Genomic DNA, 25,561 nt, shown 5'->3' on the forward strand with positions numbered 1-25,561 from the left:
CAGCCCCAGCGCCATTTGTCCCATCAGTGACAAGATTCATATTCTGATGTAGACTCTGTTGCCAGAGCCAGTGTTGAGCCAGTCCGCCTCTTCCCCGGGAAGTGCCTGCCCTTCCCTCCTGTTAGGGTTGGCTCTCGAGCTTGTGTGCCAGTTCCTGGGTTGGCCGTGAGAGTTCTACAGACAAGGAGGAAGTGCTCTCGGTGTATTTCCTGTGGTGGGTTCACACGCAGCTAGACACAGCTAACTTGAGTCTTGGAGCTCCTAGAGGGAAGCTTCTGGAAAGGAAGGCTCTTCAGGACCTCTTAGGAGCCAGGTAGGAGTCTGGGACTACTAGTGAACCTAGACCTGTGGCTCTGGCCAGAGGGGCTAGGATGAGAGACAGAGGGTGTGATGGTGGGTGCTGGGAGATGTAGCCGACCTTGGGGCTGGTGGCTGGGGGAGTGGGTAGCCTGGGAAAGGCCAGGATGTGGACGGACTGGTATGGCATTGAGCCTGAAGTGGTCCAACTTGGGGTTCCCCAGTGCCTAGGAAAGTTGTCCCCTTGAATGTCAGTGTGAAGGTGAAGGAGGAAGCAGATGCCTGTTCATATGGAAACAAAGACCTGGCTGTGAAGAGGGGAGGCGGACACCAAAGTCCTGACACTTGGGCGGGACAGAATTGATCTGTGAGAGACTCATCTAGTTCATACCCTAGGTGACCCTGGGGGTGGCATGGGGGTAGATTAGAGATCCCAGTCTGGTATCCTCTGGAGAGTAGGAGTCCCAGGAGCTGAAGGTTTCTGGCCACTGAACTTTGGCTAAAGCAGAGGTGTCACAGCTGCTCAAGATTCCCTGGTTAAAAAGTGAAAGTGAAATAGAGGGTCGGGGCAGTGCTTTCCCAGAAGGATTGCTCGGCATCCTGCCCTTCCCAGAAGCAGCTCTGGTGCTGAAGAGAGCACTGCCTCCCTGTGTGACTGGGTGAGTCCATATTCTCTCTTTGGGTCTCAATTTTGCCTTCCCTAATGAAGGGGTAAGATTGGACTAGGTAAGCATCTTACAACCATTTGTGGTCATGAGAGCTGGGGTGGGGAAGGATTGTCACTTGACCCCCCCAGCTCTGTTTCTAAGTGCTGAAAGAGCTCCAGGCTATGCTACGGGAGGAGAAGCCAGCTACTGAGGAAAAGCCAGCTACTGAGAAAAAGCGGGAGTGGTTTACCATTCTCCTCCCCCACCTTTCACCAGAGAAGAGGACGTTGTCACAGATAAAGAGCCAGGCTCACCAGCTCCTGACGCATGCATCATGACCATGAGACACAACTGGACACCAGGTAGGCCTTGGGGCTACGCATGGGCAGGCGGGGTAGGGTGAGGTCTATGAACAGAATGGAGCAATGGGCTAACCCGGAGCCTTCACTCCAAGGCAAACCACCCAGCGCACCTGGTGCTGTTGCTTTAAGAACCTGGGCAGATATTGTAGCTCTGGCTCCAGTCTAAAGCTTCTCTGTACTCTGTTCAATAAAGGGCTAAGGGGTGGGTGCTGAGGGGTCCCTCTTCCCGCTCTGATTCCCTGGCTAGAACCCAGACATCTCTGGGCTGGAGTTACATCCTTACCCGGGCAGCCCACTCTGTCTCCAGAGCCGCTGACCTGTAACTGTCCTTTCCTCAGACCTCAGCCCTTTGTGGGTCCTGCTCCTGTGTGCCCACGTCGTCACTCTCCTGGTCAGAGCCACACCTGTCTCGCAGACCACCACAGCTGCCACTGCCTCAGTTAGAAGCACAAAGGACCCCTGCCCCTCCCAGCCCCCAGTGTTCCCAGCAGCTAAGCAGTGTCCAGCATTGGAAGTGACCTGGCCAGAGGTGGAAGTGCCACTGAGTAAGAAGCACAGTGGTGGAGGGTGGGCTATGGGCACAGAGGTTCCCAGGGTCGGGTTGACTCCTGAGCGCCAGTCCCCTTCTGCCCATGTACCACCAGCTGAGCCAGCTGGGCTGAGCACGCACCATTCTCCCTCCCCAACCCAGTGTCATGGGTGCAGGCTTGGCGCAGCTCCCAAGATGCTCCCTATCAAATAGGACAGAGAACTCAAGACATAAGTAATGGTCACAGGACCTCCCAGAGCCTTGGTTGCAGTGGACCCCAAGGCCAGCCCCTCCACCCAGAGCCTGCTGGCCTCTGGCCATCTCAGAGGAGCAGCAGCCATCCAGCACTGCCTTTGTCACCTGGGCTCCCAAGTCACCGAGGCTGGGCACTAGAAAAGGTCATCCTGAGGAGACAGGTTCAGAAGAGGATTCATCACGTGAACCAAGGACCATTCCTCACATTCCCCGTGTTTAGGGCTAGGGCCTCTCGGAGACAACTGCACTTCTGTAACGGACGTTCCCACCTAGGTGGTGTGCAGAGCAGTTCTCTAGGTTCCAGATGCATGGGGACTGGGGGGAGCTGGCAGGGAGGGCACAGCAGAGCAGGGTAGGGGAAGGGCCTGCTCTTCTGAAGAGCTAACTGCTGCCTGTGTCCCTAGATGGAACGCTGAGCTTATCCTGTGTGGCCTGCAGCCGCTTCCCCAACTTCAGCATCCTCTACTGGCTGGGCAATGGTTCCTTCATTGAGCACCTCCCAGGCCGACTGTGGGAGGGGAGCACCAGGTGAGGGTCGCAGCAGCCAGGTGGGTGGGAAGGAGGCCTTCTGCGGCCTTCTCATGACCTTTCCTTCCCTTCCGCTCCAGCCGGGAACGTGGGAGCACAGGTACGCAGCTGTGCAAGGCCTTGGTGCTGGAGCAGCTGACCCCTGCCCTGCACAGCACCAACTTCTCCTGTGTGCTCGTGGACCCTGAACAGGTTGTCCAGCGTCACGTCGTCCTGGCCCAGCTCTGGGTGAGGAGCCCAAGGAGAGGCCTCCAGGAACAGGAGGAGCTCTGCTTCCATATGTGGGGAGGAAAGGGTGGGCTCTGCCAGAGCAGCCTGTGAACTAATGCCCAGCATTCCTCAAGGTCAGCCAGACAAAAAGGAACTTAGGTCTTGGGCAGAGGAGGTGTAGCCTGGGGCAAAGTGATGAGATGTCCCTCCTTTCCTTGGCCTGATCCTTGTCTGCCTTCACTTCCCTAGGCTGGGCTGAGGGCAACCTTGCCCCCCACCCAAGAAGCCCTGCCCTCCAGCCACAGCAGTCCACAGCAGCAGGGTTAAGACTCAGCACAGGGCCAGCAGCAGCACAACCTTGACCAGAGCTTGGGTCCTACCTGTCTACCTGGAGTGAACAGTCCCTGACTGCCTGTAGGCTGCGTGGATGCGCAACACACCCCCTCCTTCTCTGCTTTGGGTCCCTTCTCTCACCAAATTCAAACTCCATTCCCACCTACCTAGAAAATCACAGCCTCCTTATAATGCCTCCTCCTCCTGCCATTCTCTCTCCACCTATCCATTAGCCTTCCTAACGTCCTACTCCTCACACTGCTCTACTGCTCAGAAACCACCAAGACTGTTGATGCCTTAGCCTTGCACTCCAGGGCCCTACCTGCATTTCCCACATGACTTTCTGGAAGCCTCCCAACTATTCTTGCTTTTCCCAGACAGCTCCCACTCCCATGTCTCTGCTCATTTAGTCCCGTCTTCCTCACCGCCCCAGCAGGGGAACGCTCAAGCCTGGTTGAAATGCTGCCTCTTCAGTGAAGTCATCCTCTTTCAGCTCTGGCCGCATTCTGCAGACTTCCTATCTTCGTGCTGTATGTTTTTTTTTTCCCCCTTCACTCTAATGGACTGTTCCAGGGAAGGGATGGGGGCAGCAGCTGCTTCGGATCCACACTGTATCTGTGTCATCCCCACATGGGTCCTCATAAAGGATTATTCAATGGAGGCATCCTGACATCTGTTCATTTAGGCTTCAGTTCCACTCCCAGGAACTTTGCCTGTCCCACGAGGGAGTATGGGAGAGAGGGACTGCCACACAGAAGCTGAAGACAACACCTGCTTCAGGGGAACACAGGCGCTTGAAAAAGAAAAGAGAGAACAGCCCATAATGCTCCCCGGGAGCAGAGGCCACTAATGGAGAGTGGGAAGAGCCTGGAAAGATGTGGCCTCAGGAAAAGGGATGAGAGAAAGGAGGTGGTATGGAAGACTCAGCAGGAACAAGGTAGGCTTCAAAGAGCCTATATTCCTCTTTTTCCCACACCGATCAAGTCAACTCAGTACTCACGGGAGAAAAATAGACTTTATTTACAAGTAATAACATTTAGAAAAGATCCATCCCCGGCCCTTAAAAACCTTCCCATCACTCCAAATCCCACCCCAGTGCAAGTCTGGGGAAGGTAGGGTGTGAGCTGCTGCTGAAGGCTGTCCCCCAACCCCACTCCTGAGACATAGGGCCCATCCGTCCTGGGAAAGAGCATCCTCTGGCAGGTGCTCCCACCAGGTCAGACCCAGTCCTGGACTTCAAGAGTGAGGGCCCCTGCTGGGCCCAGCCACCAGGACAGCAGGAACCAGGGCCTACTCCTCTTATGGTCCCTTCTAGATCCAGAGGCTAAGAGGAAGACTGGCCAGGCCCAAGGACCCAGCCATCAAAACCAGCCTCAAATCTGGTTGTGATGGAGAAGTGACTTTGCTTTAAGAAAAAAGGAGGCAAGGTAGGGAGAGCGCCCACACTGTCCATGCTCCAGGCCCCCTGGGCCAGCTCCGAGAAGGCGCCAGTGAAGGACCAGGGACCAGGCCAGGGTGCGGGCAGGCATCACTGTCTCTAGGGGTTTGGCTACTGTTGGCCTGGGAGCTGAGAGAAGGCACTGAGAGGGACAGTAGGCGGAGGACCAGGTGAGGTCAGCATCGGGGACACAGGTGGGGCCACTCACTGGTACTGGCCCTTTAGTGCTTTGCCTGAAAGAGACACAGTCACATGGCCAGATGAGAACTTGCGATACTAGCCTGCACCCACTGGCTGGGAAGATCTCTTCCTGCTCCCACGCCCCTGTCTGGATCCCCTCCCTTGTGAGCCCCAGGGTTATCAGTTGCTGGCTGTGCCTGAGCAGCTCTGGGTGCTCTCCATGAGAATGGGGCCATCTGTCTTCTCTCCTTGGAGAGGAGCTACCAGGACAGGGACACCTCTTACCCCACACCCTCCAGCAGCCTGGCGTGGCCCCATCTTGGATGCTACTTGGTGGGGCGGTCTGGGGGGTGCCCATGCTCTCATCGGGTTTCCCTCCCCCATCCTGCCAGTGCCTCTACCTTGCCCTTGGCTCGAGGGGTGGCACCAATGGCGGCAGCAGTGGCGGCGCTGGCTGTGGTGGTGGCAATGCGCGGAGAACGGCGGGTTCCACTGCGAGTGTTGGGGGAAGCCTTGGACAGGGCCTTCTTTGAGGCTCCCCGCCGCAGAAGGCTGTTCCCTAGCTTCTTGGGTGTGTTGAGGATGCTGAAGGCCATCGACTGGCGCCGGTCAGCCTGCAAGGAAGGGCTGTCAGACCGGGAGACCCAATGCTGCCTTCCCAGGCCAGCGTGCTGTGCCACGCTCTATCAGCAAGGTCCCGCCAGGGCGTCGCTTCATCCCCCTTCAGCCCCAGCCTCACCTGTTTAGTAGAAGCTGGAGCTGCTTTCTTCTGGGCCTCAGTAGTGCTCTGTTTGCGCCCTTCATGTCGGTCTCGGGGAGTCATGGGGCGTGGGAAACAGCTGGTGGCCTTCTTAGACTATGGAGAAGAGGACAGTTAGGCAGACAGTAGCAAGAGGAGTCACATCTGAAGCCAGGTGTCTTGTCCTCTCAGAGCTGAGTGGACCTTGTAAGTCAACGTGCAACCTGCTCCCCTTCCCAACTCTGGGCCAGATCCTTCCCTTCCCAACAGTTCCCATCCATGGGTCAGGCCCTTGGAGAGAGGGAAAGAGAGGGGGAAGTGAGGGAAGGAGAGAGAAGGCTCCCTTTAGTCCTTGGTGAGCTGGGCCTGACCTGAGCACAGTGCTGGAGTAACACCCAGGAGCCACCGCGCCTACCTCAGGAGTTCCAGGGCCCTGGTGGGGCTCTAGGGAGACCCGTTTGCGCTGCTGCCGGGTGGTGATGCCAGTGCCCTCGGCTATCTGGATTGGCTGCATGCTGGCTCGGCGCAGGGTCTCTTGGGGGTCTCCAGTTTTCATCTCCTCATCTGTGATGGTGCCCAGGCTCAGGGAAGGCTGCATGGGTGGAAGAGGTGGTCAGTGGACCATAGCTGTATGGAGATGGAGGAGGACCTGGGGCTGTCCCAGAACTCTACACTCGCCCGACACTTATGGTCGGGACCCTTCCTGCCTCACGAGGTAGAAAGACACAAGGCCTCCTTTCCTGTTCTGCTTTCTACCTAAGCCCTGGGCAAATGGCCACAAGCAGTGCAGTCCTGACCAGATTCCTCTCTGAGCTCCTGCCTACCCCAAGGGACTTCACCCCTGAGTGCCCTCCCAGCTGTCTGTTCCACCTGGAAACATGAGAAGGTCACCCTCCCCCTCCTCGGCCAGTCAGTGATCCAGGGCCCTAGTGCTCAGGCTAGATCAGCAGGTGGGATTCCAAGGGAGGGCAGGGATGGGAGGCCCTGCACAGTGACCCCAGGCCTCACCCTGGACTCCAGGGGATAGCAGGTCTTCAGATGTGGGGGGCACACTCGATTGCGCTGCTGCAGCTCTGCAATGCGGTTCCAGTCATCCAGCTGCTCAGGCTCATCCTGGCAAGTGCCCATGTAGAAGCTGTTCCTTCCTGTGGAAGGCAGGGAAGTGGGAACAAATGAGCCTGGAGTCGGCAGGTCACCTCCTGGCCCTGGCATCTTGCCAGCCTTTGCTGCCACCTACCCCATAAACTTGAAGCCCAGCACACCAGTCTGATTCAGTGCCGCAGGTGCAGGAGTACGGCACACAGACTATTTCTATCCTAGGGGCTTGCTCACCACCTTCTCCCTGGAGAGGGCAGAAGAGGTCACACGCAGAGACTGCTACTACATCTTACTCACCTGCCAAGGCTTGGTGGCCAACACCCAGAGGAACAAATTAAGGACCGGGAATTAATTCCCAGGGGCTCCCTGGTGCCCAAAGGACAAGAGCTTCCAAGAAGAGTCTGGCCAGCCTGGCCTTTCCAGCAGCCCATCACCGCCTGAGAAGGGCATGGAGGACTCCCCACAGCTAAGTGTCACAATTGTGCTGGGAATCCCGGGCCCTTAACTCTGGCTAAGAGTGCCCCCAACACAGCCAGCCCCTAGATGGGCAGGTAAGGAAGGCCCTGAGGCTGCAGGAAGGAGGGGCAGGTGGAGCTGGATGGTAGCAAGGAGGCCAGCCTTGGATTTTTAAAAAGCTTTCCTCTTTTCCCTGTGCCACGATCCACCTTCCAGTCTAATTTTGGGGTATAGTAAGTCCCTGTAGTCCCCTCACCTGGAGGGGCCCCACTGGACACCCCGGCCTGGGAACGACGAGCAGAACTGCGAGTGGTGGGGCGGTAGCCAGGCAAGCTGAGCAGGGCTGAGTTGCCATAATCGGGAGAACCCAGGCGAGCTAGAGACTGAGTAGAGGAGGTGGCTCGCAGGCTAGCCTGGGAAGCAGGAGCAGACCGCGTGCTGTAGAACGATGAGTTGGCGCTGTCTGGCTCTTCCACATCTAGCTTCTGGAAGACAGAGTGAATCTGTTGCAGTGTACAGTCCCTGGCACTGTACAGAAGCTTCCCATTCCCTTCCGAAGCCCTCAGATCCCACGGCACATCCATGTATTCCCAACTGCTTTGCAAAGGTCCTTAAAGTGTGTGTCTGCAAGAAATGGGCCTTGTCGACAGAAGCCCTCACAAGGTGGTGCTGATGTTGTCAAGACTCTTCTACGCATTTTTTTCATGGAGTCTATTCATAATGCTTTGAGGTAGGGAATGCAGAGTGTTTATCGGCCCATTTTGGAGATGAAGTGCAAAGAAATAAAGTGACTAGCCCCAAATCACACTGCTAGGAAGTATCAGAGCTGGGGCTAGGCCCCATGTCTCCTGACTAGTCAGGCTCATCCCACAGCCTCTGCTGTCCCTCAGTCCAAACTTCCAGGGCCCTTACCATGTTCCAGAACTTCCCCAACTTCTTGGTAGCAGGGGGCACCCTAAACACACAGGTCCCCCCTGCTGTACCAGGGGCCCCTCTCCCCTCCTCCCAAACCTCCCCTTCAAGATGTGGAAACAAAGGCAAGGGCCTGTAGCCTGTCAGGCAGTCCACTGGGCAGCAACAATGCCTCTCAGCTGCATGGGGCATGCTGGGAGGCACAGGATGGGCTGCAGCTTCGCCACGTTCTCTCCCTTCACCCTGCACAGGCTCAGTGCTACGCATGGAGAGAATGCTAGCCTTAGTCAGGAGGCAGGGATCTAATCCTAGCCCTGCCTTTTTCTTCAGAAGTGCCCTTAACCAAGTCACTGCCCTTTTTAAGACCTCTCAGCTTTCCCACTGTAACATGGACTGGCTGCTCATCCCTCCCTGCTCCTGACTGAGTGCCCAGTGCAAAGATGCCCTTGAGAGGAAGTGGGAATTGCTGCCCTGCAGCCCCTGTCCCAGCAGCCTGACCTTGGTCATGGTGATGTTGATGATCTGCGTGGTGCGCCGACGAGCGGAGCGGGTCTTACGACCCGAGTCCAGGAAGACGTCTCCCAGGGAGTCCAGGCTGCTCTCCAGGGGGGCCTGACTCCGAGCAGGGATGGGAGTGAAGTAGAGACTCTCCAGGGATTCTACCTTGGGGGGCAGGCGCTGGGAGATAGGTGAGGCTGGTTCTCCAGGGACGCTGGTGCCGTCTGGCTGGGTACGAGGCAGCTTGCTATGGAAAGGAAACCTGCTGAGGTACAGTCCTTCACGCTAGAAGGCATTTTGTCCAGCCCTTTTTGAAAGTGACCATTTCCCATCCTTACTACAAGCAGATGAGGTCAAGCAGCCCATCTCTCTGATTTTTCAGAGGTACCAAGGAAAGCACTTGACCTGGGCCTTCCTTTCAGTCCACTCCCCTGGCTTCTCCTAATAGCTCCTCATAGTGGCAATGCCCAGACCCAGATGTCCCATCCCCACCAGATGCCCATGGCTGCTTCACAGCAAACACGTCCCAATCTAAGCCCACTTCTCTGTTCTTCCTCCTGCATCTCCCATTTCAGTGAATAGGAACGCCCCCCACTCAGGCCCCCAAGCCATGAACGTGGGCATAATCCAATGTCGTCCTGCTTGGCGAGCCCAATCACCAAGCTTCCTGAACAGCTCCTAACCACACCCCACTCCATGCTCATGTCCTTTCCCTGGTCTGCTTCATCTCCTCTCACCTAGACTCATCATGGCACTGACAGAGGAAGATGAGTGGTGACAAGCCAAGAACTCAGGCCAGGCTGCCCAGGGTCAAACCCCAGCTCTACCACTGGGGAACCTTGGGCAAGTGACTGCCCCTCTATGCCCCAGATTCATCTGTTAAAGGAGACAGAATAAACCTACCTCAGAGGGTTGTTGGGGGACAAATCAGGTATAATTGTCATGAGTGCTTTATGTCTAGCACAAAATAAGTAAATGTAAGTGTTTAATAAAAACATTTTTCCAGTCTTAACTTCTATACTAGCTATTAGAATAATCTTTTTAAGATGCAAATTAACCATGTACTCTTCAGTTTCAAATTCTTCCAAGGTTCCTTTTTTTTTCTCCTAAACCTTTCAATTACAGCCACCAAGGTTTCCTCAATGCCTTTAGGATCAAGTCTTAATAGTCGGTCTCCAATGGGCCTTCCTGGCCTCACATCTCAGCTTAGTCAGGCTCTTTCACAGCCTCTGTTCACACTGCTCTTCTCGTCAACCTGGCACACACACCTATGGATGCTTTCAAGACTCAGCAGGAGCGATAGCTTCCACGAAGCCTTTCTTGACCACTTGCTTTTTATTCCAACTGTGCCCTAAATAGATATCTGGTATAATACCCGTTTTTCGTTATTCTTCTCTAAGAATAAATTTAGATCACATCTTATTTATCTCACTAGGATACAGCCTGATAAACAGCAGGCACTCCATAAACAGACATAGGGAGGAAGGCTGCCTCCTGACCTGGTGATACTGAGTGGGGTCCCCTCCTCGCAGCTCAGATCCAGGCTGTCAATACTCAAGTCCAGCTGGGGCTTAGCCTGGGGCTCACGGCTCTTTAAAGCATCAGTTGCCACCTGGAATTTGCCCAGGTCTCGAAGCTGCTGGTCTGCATGGGCAACCTGAGAAGGAGAGGGCCAGGGGGAGAGTGAAGAAAAGCCTAAGGCAGCAGTGGCCTAGGAGGAGAGGGCACAGGGGTCCAGTGGAATAGGAGTGAGGTGAGTCTGCCAGCCAAATTCTTACCTGTGCCTCCAGGCTGCGCACCTGGGCAGTAAGGTGGCGGCAGGTCTGTTCAGCCTCCTTGGTCTTCAGCCCAGCCTGCTGTAGCTCATGGCCCAGCCGTTCAGCTTCAGCTCGCAGCTCTTTGTTTTCCTTCTGCAGCTGCTCCAGGCTCCGCAGCTGCTCCTGCAGCTCTTGGTTCTGCTGCTTCTTGGCATCATAATGTGTTTTGGCTTTCTCCATCTGTGGGCAGAGAGGGTGGGTGGGTGGGGTAGAGGTTGAAGGGCAGGAGGAAGGTGGCATGGGCTGGGGCTGGGCTCCTTACCTGCAGCTTATAGTGCTCAGCTGCCTGCTCCTTCTGGCTCAACTGGGCTTGCAGTTCATTCAGCTGGGCCTGGAGGCGCTGGGCCTCCTGCTGGCTCTCGCCTCCCTGAGCCTGGACAGCCTGAGAAGAAAGGCCACTCAGGAAAGCTGGTCTGGCCGCTCTACCCAAGTCCGCTTATCTGCACCAGCCACTGGGGCTCCACAGGTGCTTCAGACTCCTGCACTTTCTTAGGAAGCGGAAGAAAACCACACCACCCCAAATACTCTCTGCCCGACTACAGTCTACTAAACCTGAAGCCCACATGCCCTTCAGTCCACATCCGTAGTGGCCTTTCCCTGACCAGCTCCTGCCCTATCTTTGCCTTCTTTGAGACCAGACACAAAGTGTCACACCCTCTTTGCATGCACAATCTCCCGTAGGAGGAAGGGAACCAATCCTCAGGGAACACCCAGGTGCAGAGCCTTACTCTAAGGCACTTGGCATGTGAGCTCTCTTAGGACAGGGGAACTTGTTTCTCCTCAAAGCCACTCTGAGAAGTCACTTCACCCTCTTTTCAGAGGAGGAAACTGAGTTCAGAGATTTAAGCAAATTGACCAGAGTAACAGTGACTAAATGGCAGAGTAAGATTTGGTCCACCTAACTCCAAAAGCCCATGGGGGCTTATTTATGATGCCCACACTGCCTCCTGTCCAGACCATAACTCCTTAAGAGCAGGGCCTGATTCTCTGTCCATCTGCAAGGCCAACAAGTGCTTTGCTGTAGATAGAAGCATCCCCCCTTTGCCTCTCCTAACATAGGACAGGCCCCACAAGGAGTAGAATAAACATTTGTTTATTGCAATCAAGACATGCTGTGGCACCATGGTATGAAGGTGAGCAGGAGAAATGAAGCTCTGAGCTCCCAACAACTCCTAGGAGCCACCAGGGCTTTAGTGAGTCCCAATGCCACTGGTGCCCAATTCCTTTGCCCCTGACTGAAGGCTGTGAAGCCTAGAACTGCAAAAAGCAAGTATTAAACCAAAGAAGGTGACACAGTTGAAAGCATTAAGAATGTTATTAAACTGCACTGTAATATTCAACACTGGTGACACTCTCGTTCTTTCCCTGCCCAGACTATCTAGACTTACATTGTCCAAAAGAACTTTATGCAATGGTGGAATGTTCTGTATCTGCGCTGTCCAATACAGCAGCCACTAACCACATGTAGCTACTGAACAGGGGCACAGTGTAGCTAGTGTGATTGAAGAACTGGATTTACTTTAATAAATTTCAATAACCACACGTGACTAGTAGCTGCTGAAGTGGACAGTGACAGTTGAGAGATGGGAACCACCCTGGTTGTCTCTCGAGAGCTCCCAGAAGACACATGCAGGGGCTTCTAAGCCACAGGCTTCCTAGGAGGGCTACCTGGAATGCAGGGTGCCCCTCTTCTGCCCCGACACCCCCCACGGCCCCAGAGCTTAGAGAATAGCTTCCCTCCCTTGTCCAGAGGCCAGACCCATTCCCCCAGCTGCCCCACCTTCAGCTTCTGCTGCTGCACCTTGCTGGCTTGGTCAGAGTCAGCCAGTTTCTTACTCAGTTCTTCCACCTGGGGAGGGAAGAGGAGGACAGAAGACTCAGGAGGACTTCCCCTGGATGTTCATCCTGGATGTCCACCCATCATGGGGTTTCCCAGACCAGGATCCCCAGTGTTCCTAGAATAAACTCAGGCCCTTTCTCTGGCCTCCAATTACGGAACAGCCTGCTGCCCAGGCTGCTTGGCAGGGCCTGAATGAGGCAACCTAACACATAGATGTTGCCAGGGCCAACTGTTCTTGCGTCTACCCTGAGCCTGCAGAGACAGAGGCCTGCCCAACCCCCGTCACCTCCAAAATCAGGAGAATTGACTCTGGGGAGCCGACACCTCACCACCACCTTGCTGCCGCCACACTCTGCAGCCGCAACCTTCCCAGGACCTAGTCTGTAATTCTAGTAGACATACTCAATGAATTCCCATGCCTCCCTCCCAGAAACTGCCAAAGCCCAAGCCCACAGATGCTCAGACCTCTTCCCAACATCCACAGGCCGTTAGGGCTGGTGCTAGCAGCATGGCTGCTGTGGTTAGCATTGGGGAACAGATTGCTGGAAGACAAGAGCAGGGGCAGCACATGTACTCCAAAGCCCACCCCACTCCTACAAAGAGGAAGAGCACAGGGAGTAGGGGAAAAGAGAGAACATAACAGCCCCATGCACCCTTGGCTGCTCCAAGCATTCTGGGAGTTCAAGCATGACCAGGCAGCACAGGGGAGAGGCAAGGGCTCCATTGCTAACTGTTTGCTATTCACTTTGATTGTCCCCCACTATCACAGGCTCCTTAGAGGAGGGCCCAATTTTTCAGCAGCCCTGGGGTGGCTGGGTAGGAGAGTGATGGAGAAAGGGTGCTCTATAGCCTCGATGTCTCAGAAACACCAGCTCTATAGCCTCGATGTCTCAGGCAACACAGAGATGATTCCCATGAGAAAGAGGCAGCCAGACCATGTGACCCCCACTCCCCCGCCCCCATCTGGTATAGACCCCTCCTGCTCCTTCACCCTCGGTCTTCCTGCTACAGACATCTCTATGCTGTGCTCGGGGTTAGAGCCCCAGAAAGTGATGGGCAAGTGTCCTAAGCCCACAATCCTCCCTAACCTGTGGGGGCTGCCTCGCATATCACCTTCAAGGCTTCCATAAAGCTGTACTCTGGGAAAAAGGGACACCATGTTAAACAAGGCCGACACGGTAATTCTGCTGTTCCTCTTAGTCGGGTATCCTTAACTAGACACAGTACTTGGGAAGTTCTCGAATCCCAAGGATTGTGTCTGTCATTGGTTCAGGGTGGGAAAGATGAAGCCAGTGCTACCCCTTGTCCCTGATAGGCAAATGAGAGAAGGTGCAGAAGGGTGGAGAGGCCGACCTGGGATGGGTGGGATGAGGCCTGAGAGAGCCCAGCACACCACACTCCTGGGCAGCCTGGGCCTGGATTCCATGGCTTGACCCTGCCCCCTTCACAAACAGTTCACAACAGGAGCTGGCGGAGGCAAGCTGCAGCCGGGCTCATGCACCAAGACTGGTCACCGTTTAAGCAGCCAGCATTTAGCGAGGACCTCAGGCATTACCTGCTTAGTTTGCTCTCTCTGAAATACCTCTAGCTGCTCCACCTGTACATGGGGGAGGAGCAACAGAGACAGAGTGAGATGAGGCCAAAGAAGCACCAGCCCTGCTGCCAGGCTGACCTCACTGAGGCTCTGATACTTTCCCCTAAGGAGCTAGATTGACAGTAAGTTTAAAAATGCCAGTTAGGCTGATTCTAATCCCCAGTGGCTCCTGAGGCATCCAGTGCAGGTGTGCCTCTGAACAGGCTGGTGGTCATCACAACTTGACTCTCTAGTGACAGAGCCTTCAGGGGAGGGGAGGCCACTGACATTTTCTTTAGGATGACAGGGGCAACAGACTTGAACTCCACCAGCCACCTCTCCTTTTCTGCCACCCAGTGAATGAGGAAAGGCAAGACACTCCAGTGTAGGAGCTAGAGGCCCTGGACACAGAGGATCGATGTCCCCGCGCTCTCAGCTCCTGATCTTTGGGAGGGTGGTTGGGCTGAGTACCTTACCTGGGCAGTGAGTTTCTGCCTCTCTTCCTGGAACCGCTGCCTCTCCTCCAGGACCTTGACCTTGGCACCCTCATACTTGGCAGTCATCACCTCCAGCTCCCGGGCAGTGCTCTGTGCTTCTCGCTGCACCTCAGCCAGACGGGTCTCAGCATCAGCACGTACGGCTGCCAACTCTTGGACATACTTCTCCCGGGCCTGGTCCAACTCCACTTCCAGAAACTGCCGGCCAAGGTTGGCCCGCTCACCCAGCCCCCGGTTCTCCTCTGCCAGCAGGCCATGCGCCTTCTTCAGCATGCTCAGCTGCTCTGCATAGCTGGCCTTCTCTGCCCGCAGCTGCTGAGCTGTTCGCTCCTGCTCTGCCACCTTCTGCCGCAGAGGAATCAGCTCCCCAAGCTCCCGCTGGGCCCGCAGCAGCTCTGCCCGCAGTCCCCCAGCGGCCTGCTTGCTCTGCTCCAGCTCCTCACGGTGGCGTTTCTCGGCAGCGGCCTGCTCGGCCTGCAGCTGCTGGCAGAGGTGCTTAGCTGGCAGCAGCTCACTCACCAGGGCCTGTGTGCTGGTGTGCTCGAGCTGCAGGGTGGAGAGGGCCTGCTCTTTCTGGAAGAACTTCTCCTGCCACGCCTTCAATTCTTGGCCCAGCTCCTCCGCACGCTCAGCCTGTGAGGTCAGCTCCTGCCGCAGGTTCTCTGAAGCCACCCGCTGTTTCTCAGCCTCCTCCCGGAGGCTCTGCACCTCCTCCCGCAGAGCAGAGCTGCGTTCTGCAGCTCTGGCACTGTTGCTGGCTGTCTCTGCCTGCAGCAGGCGCAGCCTCTCCTCCAGCTTCTGGCTCTTCTCTGACTCGGCCATCACCAGCCGCTTCAACTCCTTGCTCTCCCCCTCCTTCTCCAGGACCTGGCGATTCAGGATGGACACCTCCTCCTCCAAGCTGCTGATGAGGCTATTTTTCCTCTCAGCCTCTTGCCGGCCCCGGGCCACCTGGGCCTTCCACTCATCTTCAGCCTTGCTGTGGTCTTGTACCTTGGTGCGGAAGGCAGCCAACTCCCGTTGGGCCGAGGCTAAGGCACTCTGACTGTGCCCTAGCTCCTGGGCCTTCTCCTCTAACTGGCCCTGCAGAGTCTCCAGAGCACTGTCCCGCTCAGCCCGGGAGGCCCGCTCAGCCTCGAGGCTGCGTTCCAGGCTGTCAGCCTGCTCCTGCTGCTTCTGGCATTGCTGTTCCAGCTTGCTCACCTCTGCCCGCAGTGCCTCCAGCTTGGGGCCTGTTGGCTCTGTCCTGCCAGCAGCCTCAGATTGGGCTCCTGAGCCAGATGCGTGCTCCTTTTCTTTCTTAGCCAGCTGTTCCTTCAGTTGCTTCACGGTTTGCCGAAGTTCCTCCAGCTCTTTTATCTGGGCTGCCTCCAGACCACGAAGCTTGGCCAACTCCTGGTCCTTGCCTTCCTTTTCCGTCAGGGCATGAGCCAGTGCCTCTTGCAGGGTAGCGAACTCCACACGCTGCTCGTTGAGGGCGTTCTGCAGCCGCATCTCAAGCTCTGCTCTGGCCGCCTTCTCCAGGGCAAGGTCAGCCTGGGCACGGCCCCGCTCCTGGGTCAGCCGCGCCACCTCCCTTTCCTGCTGCCCACGCTCCTCCTGCTGCTGCCCCTGGCTCTCCATCAGCGCGGCCCGCAGCCGTTCCAGCTCATTGCCCATCTGCTCTGCCTCCCGCTCCATAGCCTGCAGCGCTGCCTGTGTGCTGCAGAACTGGCGTCCCTGTTGCTCTTCCAGCCACTCGGGCTGTCTGTCTCCTGCCCTCGCAGGCTCCTTGACTAACTCCCGGGAGGCTGTTTCCTGCTGCTCACCTGCCTTGCGCACCAAGGTCTCCAAGCGGGCCACCTCTTTGCTGGTGGCAGCCATCTTTTCCTGCAGAGTGGAGAGGTCATCTGCAAGCTTCTGGGCCCTGACTTCCTTCTCTTGGACCTGCTGGAGTGCTCTGGCCAGGTTGGCATGGAGCTCAGCTAGTTCGTTCTGCTGCCGGCTTATCTGGAGCTCGCTGTGGGATTCTATGCCTGCCACCTTCTCCTTTGCCTCCTGCAGCTCCTGGCGGGCCTTCTCACATTCCTCCTTCAAAGTCATCAGCTGTTCCTGGAACATGGCGCCATACTGTGCCTCCTCTTGCTGGCTATCCTCATACCGCTCACGCCAGGCAGCTACTTCTTTGACGAGCTGCTCACACTCACTCTCAGCTGTGTGCTGGGCAGCCATGGCCTCTGCCAGCTCCCGCCGCAGGACTTCAGTCTCAGCCTGATGGGCCTCCCCAAGCTGCTGTAATCGAGCCTCCAGCCCCTTGCGCCCAGCCCTCTCTTCTTCCAGCTCCTTTCGTTCCCGCTTATGCTGCTCCACCAGGCTTCGGGTCTCTGCCTTCAGCTCAGAGATACAACGCTGCTGCTCTTCCAGGGCATCTGCAGCCCTGCGCTTCTCCTCTTCAAGGCTGCCCTTGGTGACCTTCAAGGACTCTTTGAGGGCCTGGAGCTGCTCCTGGAGCTGGTCCTTCTCCTGGGCCACCCTTTCTTTCTCAGTTGCTTTTTGCTGCTCAGACCGCAGCTGCAACTCTAGCTCTGCAACCTGGGCCTGGGCCTCATGCTGTTCCTGGCGGGCTGTCTCAACACAGGCCTGGAGTTCCTCCACCTTCCGGCTCAGCTCTGCCTTCTCCCGCTGGGCCTGTGTCACTGAGGTCTGGGCACTGTCCCGGGCTTCATTAGCCACCTGAAGTTGCTGCTGCAGAATCTCCAGCTTGGCAGCCTTCTCCTTCTCCAGTGCCTCCAGCTGCTTGAGAGCCGCATCCCGCTCCCTTAAGGAGGCCTCTCGCTCCTCTGCAGCAGTGGCCAGTTGCTGGGCATGGTCCTGCCTAGTTGCCTCCTGCTTCTCCGCTACCTCCTTCAACTGCTGCTCCTTCTGCTTCAGGCTACTGCTTAGCTGCTCCACCTGGTGGCGGAGGCCCTGGGAGGCCTGTTCTTGCTGTTGGAGGGTCTGTGCTAGCTGGGCCTGCTTCTCTTTGGCCTGCTGCTTCAGGCCAGCCAGTTCTTGATCCTGTTGCTGGATGGTGGCATTGAGTGTGGTGAGCTCAGAGGTCAGAGAGGCCACCTGGGCAGTCAACCGGGCCCCATGAGCCTGGGAGGCCTGCTCCAGCTCTTCCTTGGCCTGGCTGAGGTTGGAGATGGAGCTCTGCAGGTCAGTGATCAGGCTAGACAGCTGCTGCTTTTCTTCTTCGAAGTGGCCCCGCTCAGCAAGCAGCTTGGCTTCCTGCTGGCCTCGCTCAGTCTCCAGCATCTCTACCCTGGCTTGGAGCTGTGTGTTGTTTGCAGCAAGAGTGGCTGCCTCTTGCTTCAAGGTTTCCAGCTGGTGGTATAAAGAGACAAACTGGGATCAGCATGACTCCTCAGTCATCAAGACTCCTCTGGAAATGGAGGAACACCAGGAACCCAAATGTACTGAATGTGAGTCCACACCAACCAGCAGCACACAGGTCTTTCTGTGCATTCCTACCTGCAAGACATCACCCAGCACCTCGCCCTTCTCCTGGGGTGGGTTATCCTGCAGCTGGGACAAGTGTTCTTCCAGCTGTGAAAGTTTTCCCTGAAGGATTTCGTTCTTCTCTTCAAGGCATTTCTGGGAGTAAATGAGACCCATGTGAACAGAGAGGGGGAACAGGCACCAGATTACCACACAAGCCCTCATAAACATCAGCAAACATGGGGCCCATCATCTTGTTACCAAGATCTCCTTTTGCCCTGGCCTAGAAAAAAGCAGAAACCATGGAACTGGGAGCATGAGGGACCTGATTCTCTAGACCTAGTTCTAAGGCACAATAAAGTCATAATGTAACCTGCTTACTACTTCCCCAAGGCTGCTGAGTTTACTTCAAATTTCCTTACCGTATACCCTTCCTCAGATAAGTCTTGAGTCCTAGATTATCCAAATCACCACCAGCTGCCCACCATCCTCTGGGCAGCAATACCACTGGCAGCAGCTGCAGCAACCCCCAGTCCCAAACCCACTTCTTCACCACTGTTCACTAAGCACCTACAATAGGCTATGCTGGGTTCATCCCTAATTTTTTTTTTTTTTTTTTTTTTTTTGAGACAGAGTCTCGCTCTATCGCCTAGGCTGGAGTGCAGTGGCGAGATCTTGGCTTACTGCAACCTCCACCTCCCAGATTCGAGAGCTTCTTCTGTCTCAGCCTCCCGAGTAGCTGGGACTACAGGCATGCATCACCACACCCAGCTTATGTGGGAGGCAGCTACTACCATTCCTCTTACAGAGCAAGAACCTGAAGCAGATGCTAAGTGCCTTGATCAAGGGCTACATGGTTATTAGTAAGTGGCCAAATTGGGTTCTTACCAATAGTAACAATCACAACTGGTTCACTGAGAGCTTACTTTACACTACACGATGTGTGAAGTGCTTTACATACGTTTTCTCATAATAGGTGATGAGGCAGCTACTCGTTACTACTCCCATTTTAGGGAAAGGATGCTTAGAAAAACAGACTGATTAACTTGTCCAAGATCCACATCTTGTGAACAGCAGAGATAGGATTGAAAGGTGTACTATAAAGTGAGGGCATTGACTGGGGAAAAAAAAAATAAGTTAAAAAAAAAAGGTGTACTAGACTGAAGCCCACAATCTTTCAATTACAGCACACTATTGAACCTTGAAGAGAAAGCAACTTAATACCCAAAGGCCCAGAAGAGCACAGTGGTAAACTGGACTCAGCTTTGCACATGTGGTCAAGACTGTGGCTGTGACCCCAGCAGAGGGTTACCTTGTCCTGCAGGGCTGCGCTGAGCTCCTTCTCCAGCTGGGCCTGCTTCTCTAGCCACTCCTGAGTGGCCTTGCTGTGCTCCTCCGTCAGCTCATTGAGGGCATCCTGTAGCTGCTGCAGATGACTGGCAAACTCCCGCAGCTGAGACGGGCAAGTGAGAATCCCCATCACCCAGAGTCAACGCTGACCCCACCACTGCTGTCTGCTCCCAGAACCCCAGGGGCTGGATGCCTCCAATTATCCTGCCAACCCTCTACAAACCAATCACAGCCATCACACCTCTAATTCAGAACTACAAATCAACATTTAGGGTCACAGCCCAGTACCCGGGAAGCCGCCAATTATGGGATAAGGAAAGGGGCAAAATATGCAGGTCTCTGGAGAGACTGAAGCATAAGACAGGTGCTGGGACATTCTTCTCAACCCTCTCTTGGGGAGCCTTCCAGACCACCTCAGCCCTGAGGGGCCTCCATGCACACACCACCTTAACACCCACCTTAAAGGAAAGGTCTCCATTCTCCTCCGAAAGCTGGTTGATTTTGCGATCCATCTGGCTCTTCTCTGTCTTCAGGTCCTGGCACTGCTTCAGGGTTTCATGCAGCCGCATGGTAAGGCTGCGAGGGAGGGAAGCAGTGAGAAGAGAGTATGGGTTCCTGGCTGGGTGAGGGGAGGGGCTGGGGCCTGGGAAGGAATGCAGGGAGAGCTGTACCTCTCATTCTTGTCACGCAGCTCCTCAAGCTCCTTGGGCTCCAGTGGGCTGGCCGCCTGCTTCTCATTCAGCAGGGCTAGGCGGTCAATGCGCTGCTGCATCATGGCTATCTGTGCATCTGCCCAGAGTGGAGGGAGGAGGAGAGGAGAATCAGAACTATGTGCATGAGCGGAACTATGTGCACAGAACTATGTGCACAAGGGGAAGGGAGGAGACGGCATAGGGAAGAGGAGGAATATGGTATCCAATCTAAGGGAAAGAGAAGATGGGGACAAAGACAGAACCTAGCTTCCAGGAGGTCAGCCTGACCACAGGCCCAGGGCTGAGCTCTCAGCTCCAGGGGCCAGCAGAGGGGACAACATGGGAGGCCAGGGGACATCCTTCCGGCAAGTCTATTCACACATCTGCCAGTGTGCCAGCCACCTACCCTTCTCGGTGAGGAGCTTGCGGTTCTCAGCTAGCTCCAGCTCCAGCTCATCCCTATTACTTCTCTCATCAGCAAGCTGCTTCTTCAGCCGTCTCATCTGGAACTGTGGGGTCTGCAGGATATCACCCATGGGAGAAGCTGGAGAACCTGAGAGAAAGCTGAGGAGGGAGAAGGCCCATATGCATTGGTAAGCGCCTAAGATCTGAAGCAATCAGCAACAGGCAGCAGTAAGGGAGCGGGGTCTATGGAAGTGCGCACTAGCAGCTGGGAGGCCTGTGCACCTGGGTTGTTTGCAGTGCTACCTCAAGCCTCATGACATGATCTTGGGAAAACTTTTCTTCTCACTGCCTTAATTTCTTTGTCAGAAAAAAAAAAAGTGATATATTCTCCTTGGCTCTGCAGAGATGTGCTAAGAGAAGAGACTTCATTGTAGTCTCCGAGGAAGAAGGGTATTCCATAAACAGGGAACAGCTTTTGAGGGAGGCCTTCTGCACATGACAAATCCCAACCACTTCCCCCAGTTAATACTGGGTGAGGTGAGGAGATCCCAGATCTACCGGATACTCTAAGCACTCCCAGAGGCTGGTTAACATCTTAACTCTAGAAGTTAGGAATGTGAGGAATGGATGGATGCTGAGGCCCTATCCCAGGAGGAGAGGCCCAGAACATACTTGTTCCCACTGGAAGAGGAGGCAACCTTCTGTAGCTCTAGGAAGCGAATCTCCCTCTTGGCCTGGTGGCTAGGTGGGGAGAGCTCTTCAGGGAATGTGCTAGAACAGGTAGAAGGCACAGGAGCTGGGGGTAAGAAATAGACAAAATAAATCAACAAAGGTTAGTAAGAAGGTGTAAAGATTTGCACCTTTATGCAATTTGAGAACTCGCCTTAGTGGGAGTATATCCATGGATACTTATATGTAAACTACCAAGGAAGGCACTGGGCAGAACCTGAAACCTGGTGCCTGGGTTATCCAGAGTTCCGTGTCTCTAACCAAAATGAAGTGCAGGGCTTCCATTTCTACAGAGCATCATTACTCAGAGCACAGTGGAGTGACGGTGTCCTCTGGCTCAGAAACTGCACCAAGTGCTCAAGCTTTTTCCTCGAGTCCACACTGCAGAGACGGCTTGGGGAGCCCTGAGCAGGATCTCCTTGCAGCCCCCAACAACCTTTCCTATCAGAGCCATTGGCCACCATTTGGAATTCATCCCCCCTGAAGCCTTGCACCTCCAAAATGCCCTCCTCCTCAAAACCCTTCTCTTTCCGTGGTTTCCGTGACCCCTTTTGTAGGACTCTCCTACCTCTAATCACCCATTCTTAAGTCTCCTCATCTGCTCCTCCCTCCTCTACCCACCCTCTAAGCTCCCAGAGATCTGATGGGGCCTCTTGGCTCTGCCCATAGTGCCCACGGCTTCAGTGGCCATCCAATGCTGACTTGCAAACCTATCTTCTGGTCCAGAGCCTGCTCCTGAATTCTGGACTCACATTTCTAACATCTCCACCTGAAGGTCTCATGAGGAACCTGAATACAAGGAACATCAAACTCAACGGCTAGAACTCGCCTAGACCTCCTTCTTACATTCCTATCATCCACCAGCTGACCTCTTCATCAGAAGACCAGCAGAACGATCACTCTTTCTACTGTAGTACCAGCCGAGGCCATTGATATATTCCGTACTTAGATTCCTTATCATTATTTCCTGGTTTATGTATCTGCCTTTCCACCTAGAACATGCACTACATGACGGGAAAAACATTTTTTAAAAGACTGTGGGCCGGGCGCAGTGGCTCATGCCTGTATTCCTAACACTTTGGGAGGCCGAGGCAGGTGGATCACCTGATGTCAGGAGTTCGAGACCAGCCTAATCAACATGGTGAAACCCCGTCTCTACAAAAAATACAAAAATTAGCCAGGTGTGGTGGCATGCGCCTGTAATCCCAGCTACTCGGGAGGCTAAGCAGGAGAATTGCTTGAACACGGGAAGTGGAGATTGCAGTGAGCTGAGATCGCACCACTACACTCCAGCCTGGGCGACAGAGAGAGACTCTGTCTCAAAAAAAAATAAAAATAAAAATAAAAAGACTGTATTCTCAGCTTCTAAGCCTAGAGTAATGATTGTTTAAAAAATAAAAAACAAAAGTAGGTATGATCACTTGTAAATATCCTACATAACTGCTGCCAGGCAGCAAGGAGGAGCTCCATAGGAACTGAGATGATACAACATGGCCCAGAAATCGACCTACTCCATTACACACACTTTTCCTGAGCATCAACTCTGCCTTGTGTTGGGGACAGAAACAAACCCCCACCATACTTGACAACTCAGGATCCTAGTATTCCCCATTTCAGAGATGAGGGGATTCTCAGGAGTGTGTACCTACTTACCTTTCTGTAGGAAGTTCTCTAGGTCCTCATTAAGGTTTAGCCCGTCCTCATGGTCCAGCACAAATTTAAGAATGACAGCCAACTCAGCCTGGGCCACAGGGAGAAAAAGAGCATCACTTAGGTGTTAGGCCTCTGAAGGGATGGCTGCCAGGAGCTCCACCCTGGCAGTGCCAGTCCCCGGCTCCCTCATGCCCTAGGAGCCTGCTGGATCCCATTCTCCCTCTCAGAGCTGAGGTCCTATGACCCAGCCAACAACATTCAACTAGAGATATGTTCACCCCACTTGTCCCCTTCCCTCCCACCTCCCCTCAAGATGTACCGAAGTCAGAGTTCCTGACTGACTTAACTCCTGACCACAAGTGAAGTGACTGTTAAGGAAAGTAACACAATCAGAAAGTTGCTTTTATTGTTATTGTTGTTAAGAAACAAGATCTTGCTCTGTCACCCAGGCTGGAGTACAGTGGCACAATCATAGCTCACTATAACCTCCAACTCCTGGAGTCAACTCCTCCTCCTCAGCTCCCCAAGTAGCTAGAACTACAGACACACACTGCCACACCCAGCTCATTTTTTTTAAAAAAAATATTTTTTGTTGAGACAGGGTCTCGCTATGTTACCCAGGCTGATCTTGAACTCCTGGCCTCAAGCAATCCTCCTGTCTCGGCCTCCCAAAGTGCTGGGACTATAGGCGTGAGCCACCACGCCCGGCCAGGAAGCTTTTATATATAACTATGTTGGCCTCTTCCAGATGACCCTACCAGAGGAAAGGATGAGATAAATGAAGTGAAAGTTCTGTGGGGGAAAAAAAACACACACACACAGAAACACATATAGGAACAGAGAATAATTTCTACGTATTATCCTAAAACACATTACAGTTAAACATATGCACATAAAAAAGGACTTGAAAGTACATCCTTTAAAAAGTTAGCAAACTCTGGGAATGAGTTTATCGGCAACTGTTATTTCCTCCTGCATGCTTTTCAACGTTTCCCAGACTTTCTATGATGAATGGCAATAATTGCTATAACTGTATTTTTAAAAAGTCCAGTATCTGCTGTTCAAAGAAAAACAAGTCAGGTGAGGTGAAGCATGGGCTAGGCCTGCTAGGTGGCATGGAGGCACAAGGGCTTACCTGAATTTTATATTCAAACTGTTCCCAGTCCCTGGGACTTTTGGAGCTCATGGTAGAGTGGTATAAGAGCAGCATGGTCATCTAGAAGCCAAACAGGAGGCAGTCACTGAGTGGGGCTGTCTCTCTTCTCAGTGCCCCCATTCTGGGCTGTTCTGGGGACTCTGAGCTATTCCGGTGACTCTTCTAAAAGTCCTGGAATTCAGCAATCCCAGGCCACCATCCTTAACAGCTCCAGGAAACACTTTTTTTTTTTTTTTTTAATTAAGGATAGTGTACACTGTACAAAAAGCTGAGCGCCAAGATTCCTGCATGGCTCAATTCCTGGACTCATGGAACCCTGGGTGTGAAGCTTTAGGTACCCTCTATAGGCCAGCACCCAGAAAGAGCAGAGGGAATGACTTAAGACTGAGCTATAATAAAAATATGGTGATAGCCGAATGAGACCTGATTTCTGCCAGGTCTCCACCGAGGCCCACAGTAATGGTCTAGTAAACCATTGTTTGTTTCATAATCTCTGTCATAAGATCATGGGCTCCTAGAATCCTTGGGCTAAATTAGCCTCTGTCTCAAGACAGGTGGCTGCCTGGTTCTACCTCCAACGTACTAGAGCCCCAGAAATAAAGCACCCATCATCTCCCCTTGGGTTAAGAGAAGGCCCTGCAGGGTCCCTCAGGTACCATCACCCCAACCCTGCCCTGCCTCCCCAGTCTGGTATTCCATAGGTACCTTCGCCAGTTCCAGCTCTGATCCCTCTAGCACCTTCTGTGCAGATACCAGGCATTCTGGGGAAGAGGGATGTTTTCGATTTTCTGCAATGACAACAACGTAGAAAACAGGGTGAACTTCCTGGAAACCATACCTGAGATCCCAGAACACTGAAATCTGGGGAGCAGAATGGCTATCTCTGGTGGGGCTATGAGATGTAGGCCTCCTTACTCCTATGGCCTCTTTCCCCTGCCTTACAATTTTCCATCTGAAGTCAGTTCTATCCTGGGTCAATCCAAGGGCTACAGGGATAATGGAAGAAGAAAGCAGCCTCGGAATTCACAGCAACTCTGGGTCATGATGTTGCACTCTCCCACCCACTCACCAACTCTCAGCACCACAGAGGAAGAGCCCAGAGATGCCAGGTCACTTTAGAATCCTGTTCCAACTGAGGTCACAGAGTAAACCTATAGCTGAGTCAGAAAAGGACAACTAGGGATACGTGACTCTTATACTGCCCGAGGGTCTGGGCTCAAATTACTAACACCTTACTTTATCTAAATAAAGCCTCACCTTTCCTATAATTCTCTAGGGGTGGAGATGGCAGCTAGCTCCCCATGTCAAAGACGAGGACTCTGTGGTCTAAGGCTGGACAAGGGGAGGGGAACTGAAAAGCACTGTACTAGAAGCTTTGCATGTGTTCTTATTTAATCCACCCATCCACTTGAAGAGCAGTTATCTCCATATTATAGATAGGGAACCTATGTCCAGAAAGGTCACACAAGCAGTGAGGGGGGTCAAGATCAACCTTAATGTGCCTCTGCCCCTACACCTATCGCCTAAGCAATTAATTCAAAGTTATCTGGGAAAAACAGTTTTTCTTGCAAGGGAAAGAGACTCATTCTCTCTTCTGTCTCCTTGAAGTTCGGGGAAACAGAAACTTAAGGTGCTCAAAGAGTTAAAAGTGACAGGTCCCAAAAAGTAACCTTCTGGCTCCACCTAGATCTCCGAGAAGGGCTCTGGGACTGAAGGGACACTCTTCTTACACCAACTGATGAAGGCATCACAAGACCCAGGGGATCTGAACCAGCTGTTTTCATCTTTGTGTTAAAGAGTGGGGAGCCTTGAAATTTTTCTCCTCCAGACACCCATGAACTAGTTCCTCTGGACTCTCCAATCCCACGAGCTGAGGAAGCAGCTTCTTCATAGCTGGATAAGAAAGGT

General features: G+C 53.9%; 2 protein-coding genes and 1 long non-coding RNA gene across 71 annotated transcripts in view, besides 2 other annotated features; 2 read left to right on the forward strand and 1 right to left on the reverse strand.

The window, feature by feature from the left end:
- On the forward strand, window positions 203–9,494 carry IL18BP (interleukin 18 binding protein). 18 transcript variants are annotated; one of them, XM_047426203.1, is made up of 8 exons: window positions 203–313; window positions 522–956; window positions 1,221–1,306; window positions 1,645–1,851; window positions 2,495–2,618; window positions 2,699–2,846; window positions 3,078–4,098; window positions 6,839–9,494. In XM_047426203.1, the coding sequence occupies exons 3-7, from the start codon at window positions 1,279–1,281 to the stop codon at window positions 3,153–3,155; spliced, it is 585 nt and encodes a 194-aa protein (XP_047282159.1). In that variant the 5' UTR covers window positions 203–313; window positions 522–956; window positions 1,221–1,278; the 3' UTR covers window positions 3,156–4,098; window positions 6,839–9,494. The 18 variants fall into 18 exon arrangements, with proteins under 18 accessions (XP_047282159.1, XP_047282162.1, XP_047282161.1 ...); XM_047426206.1 differs by having other exon boundaries at window positions 522–664; XM_047426205.1 differs by lacking the exon at window positions 6,839–9,494 and having other exon boundaries at window positions 522–664; window positions 911–956.
- The window catches only part of NUMA1 (nuclear mitotic apparatus protein 1), a 77,679-nt gene continuing 56,275 nt past the window's right edge, over window positions 4,158–25,561 (reverse strand). For 13 of the 52 annotated variants that reach the window (XM_047426995.1, XM_011545055.2, XM_011545057.3 and 10 more), the window contains 23 exons: window positions 24,359–24,441; window positions 23,633–23,713; window positions 22,498–22,585; window positions 20,788–20,911; window positions 20,117–20,274; window positions 19,690–19,807; window positions 19,477–19,594; window positions 18,981–19,121; window positions 17,702–17,824; window positions 14,189–17,554; window positions 13,695–13,736; window positions 12,080–12,148; window positions 10,562–10,681; window positions 10,261–10,479; window positions 9,982–10,139; window positions 9,386–9,439; window positions 8,483–8,729; window positions 7,329–7,557; window positions 6,527–6,663; window positions 5,934–6,110; window positions 5,519–5,635; window positions 5,181–5,393; window positions 4,158–4,832 (listed from right to left, as the gene is read on the reverse strand). In XM_047426995.1, the coding sequence (XP_047282951.1) occupies window positions 4,821–4,832; window positions 5,181–5,393; window positions 5,519–5,635; window positions 5,934–6,110; window positions 6,527–6,663; window positions 7,329–7,557; window positions 8,483–8,729; window positions 9,386–9,439; window positions 9,982–10,139; window positions 10,261–10,479; window positions 10,562–10,681; window positions 12,080–12,148; window positions 13,695–13,736; window positions 14,189–17,554; window positions 17,702–17,824; window positions 18,981–19,121; window positions 19,477–19,594; window positions 19,690–19,807; window positions 20,117–20,274; window positions 20,788–20,911; window positions 22,498–22,585; window positions 23,633–23,713; window positions 24,359–24,441 (6,194 nt within the window). In that variant the 3' untranslated portion in view covers window positions 4,158–4,820. The remainder of the gene's footprint in view (window positions 4,833–5,180; window positions 5,394–5,518; window positions 5,636–5,933; window positions 6,111–6,526; window positions 6,664–7,328; window positions 7,558–8,482; window positions 8,730–9,385; window positions 9,440–9,981; window positions 10,140–10,260; window positions 10,480–10,561; window positions 10,682–12,079; window positions 12,149–13,694; window positions 13,737–14,188; window positions 17,555–17,701; window positions 17,825–18,980; window positions 19,122–19,476; window positions 19,595–19,689; window positions 19,808–20,116; window positions 20,275–20,787; window positions 20,912–22,497; window positions 22,586–23,632; window positions 23,714–24,358; window positions 24,442–25,561) is intronic. The other 39 variants (XM_047427016.1, NM_006185.4, XM_047427008.1 and 36 more) reach the window with 4 other exon arrangements.
- On the forward strand, window positions 15,585–22,213 carry NUMA1-AS1 (NUMA1 antisense RNA 1). Its single transcript, NR_104178.2, has 4 exons — window positions 15,585–18,181; window positions 18,653–19,588; window positions 20,189–20,303; window positions 21,620–22,213. It is a non-coding gene; the product is annotated as an NUMA1 antisense RNA 1 (long non-coding RNA).
- Window positions 16,239–16,986: an enhancer, noted in NCBI's record as "H3K4me1 hESC enhancer chr11:71725991-71726738 (GRCh37/hg19 assembly coordinates)". NCBI's record gives its function as "activates a minimal SCP1, AML or CMV promoter by ChIP-STARR-seq in naive H9 embryonic stem cells {active_cell/tissue: H9 hESC(naive)}" and the evidence as "EXISTENCE:reporter gene assay evidence [ECO:0000049][PMID:30033119]".
- Window positions 19,143–20,342: an enhancer, noted in NCBI's record as "BRD4-independent group 4 enhancer chr11:71728895-71730094 (GRCh37/hg19 assembly coordinates)". NCBI's record gives its function as "activates an origin of replication core promoter dependent on BRD2, P300/CBP, MED14 and CDK7 cofactors, and independent of BRD4, by STARR-seq in HCT116 cells {active_cell/tissue: HCT116}" and the evidence as "EXISTENCE:reporter gene assay evidence [ECO:0000049][PMID:35650434]".

This window comes from Homo sapiens, chromosome 11 (genome assembly GCF_000001405.40).
Source record: "Homo sapiens chromosome 11, GRCh38.p14 Primary Assembly".
NCBI classification, from domain to species: Eukaryota; Metazoa; Chordata; class Mammalia; order Primates; family Hominidae; genus Homo; species Homo sapiens.

Excerpts from the sequence above, each read along its gene's own strand:
- IL18BP (NM_005699.3), top strand. The coding sequence starts at position 1,279 with ATGACCATGAGACACAACTGGACACCAG. Across the intron at positions 1,307-1,644 it reads GAGACACAACTGGACACCAG|ACCTCAGCCCTTTGTGGGTC; the intron begins GTAGGCCTTGGG and ends TCCTTTCCTCAG. Across the intron at positions 2,619-2,698 it reads CTGTGGGAGGGGAGCACCAG|CCGGGAACGTGGGAGCACAG; the intron begins GTGAGGGTCGCA and ends CTTCCGCTCCAG.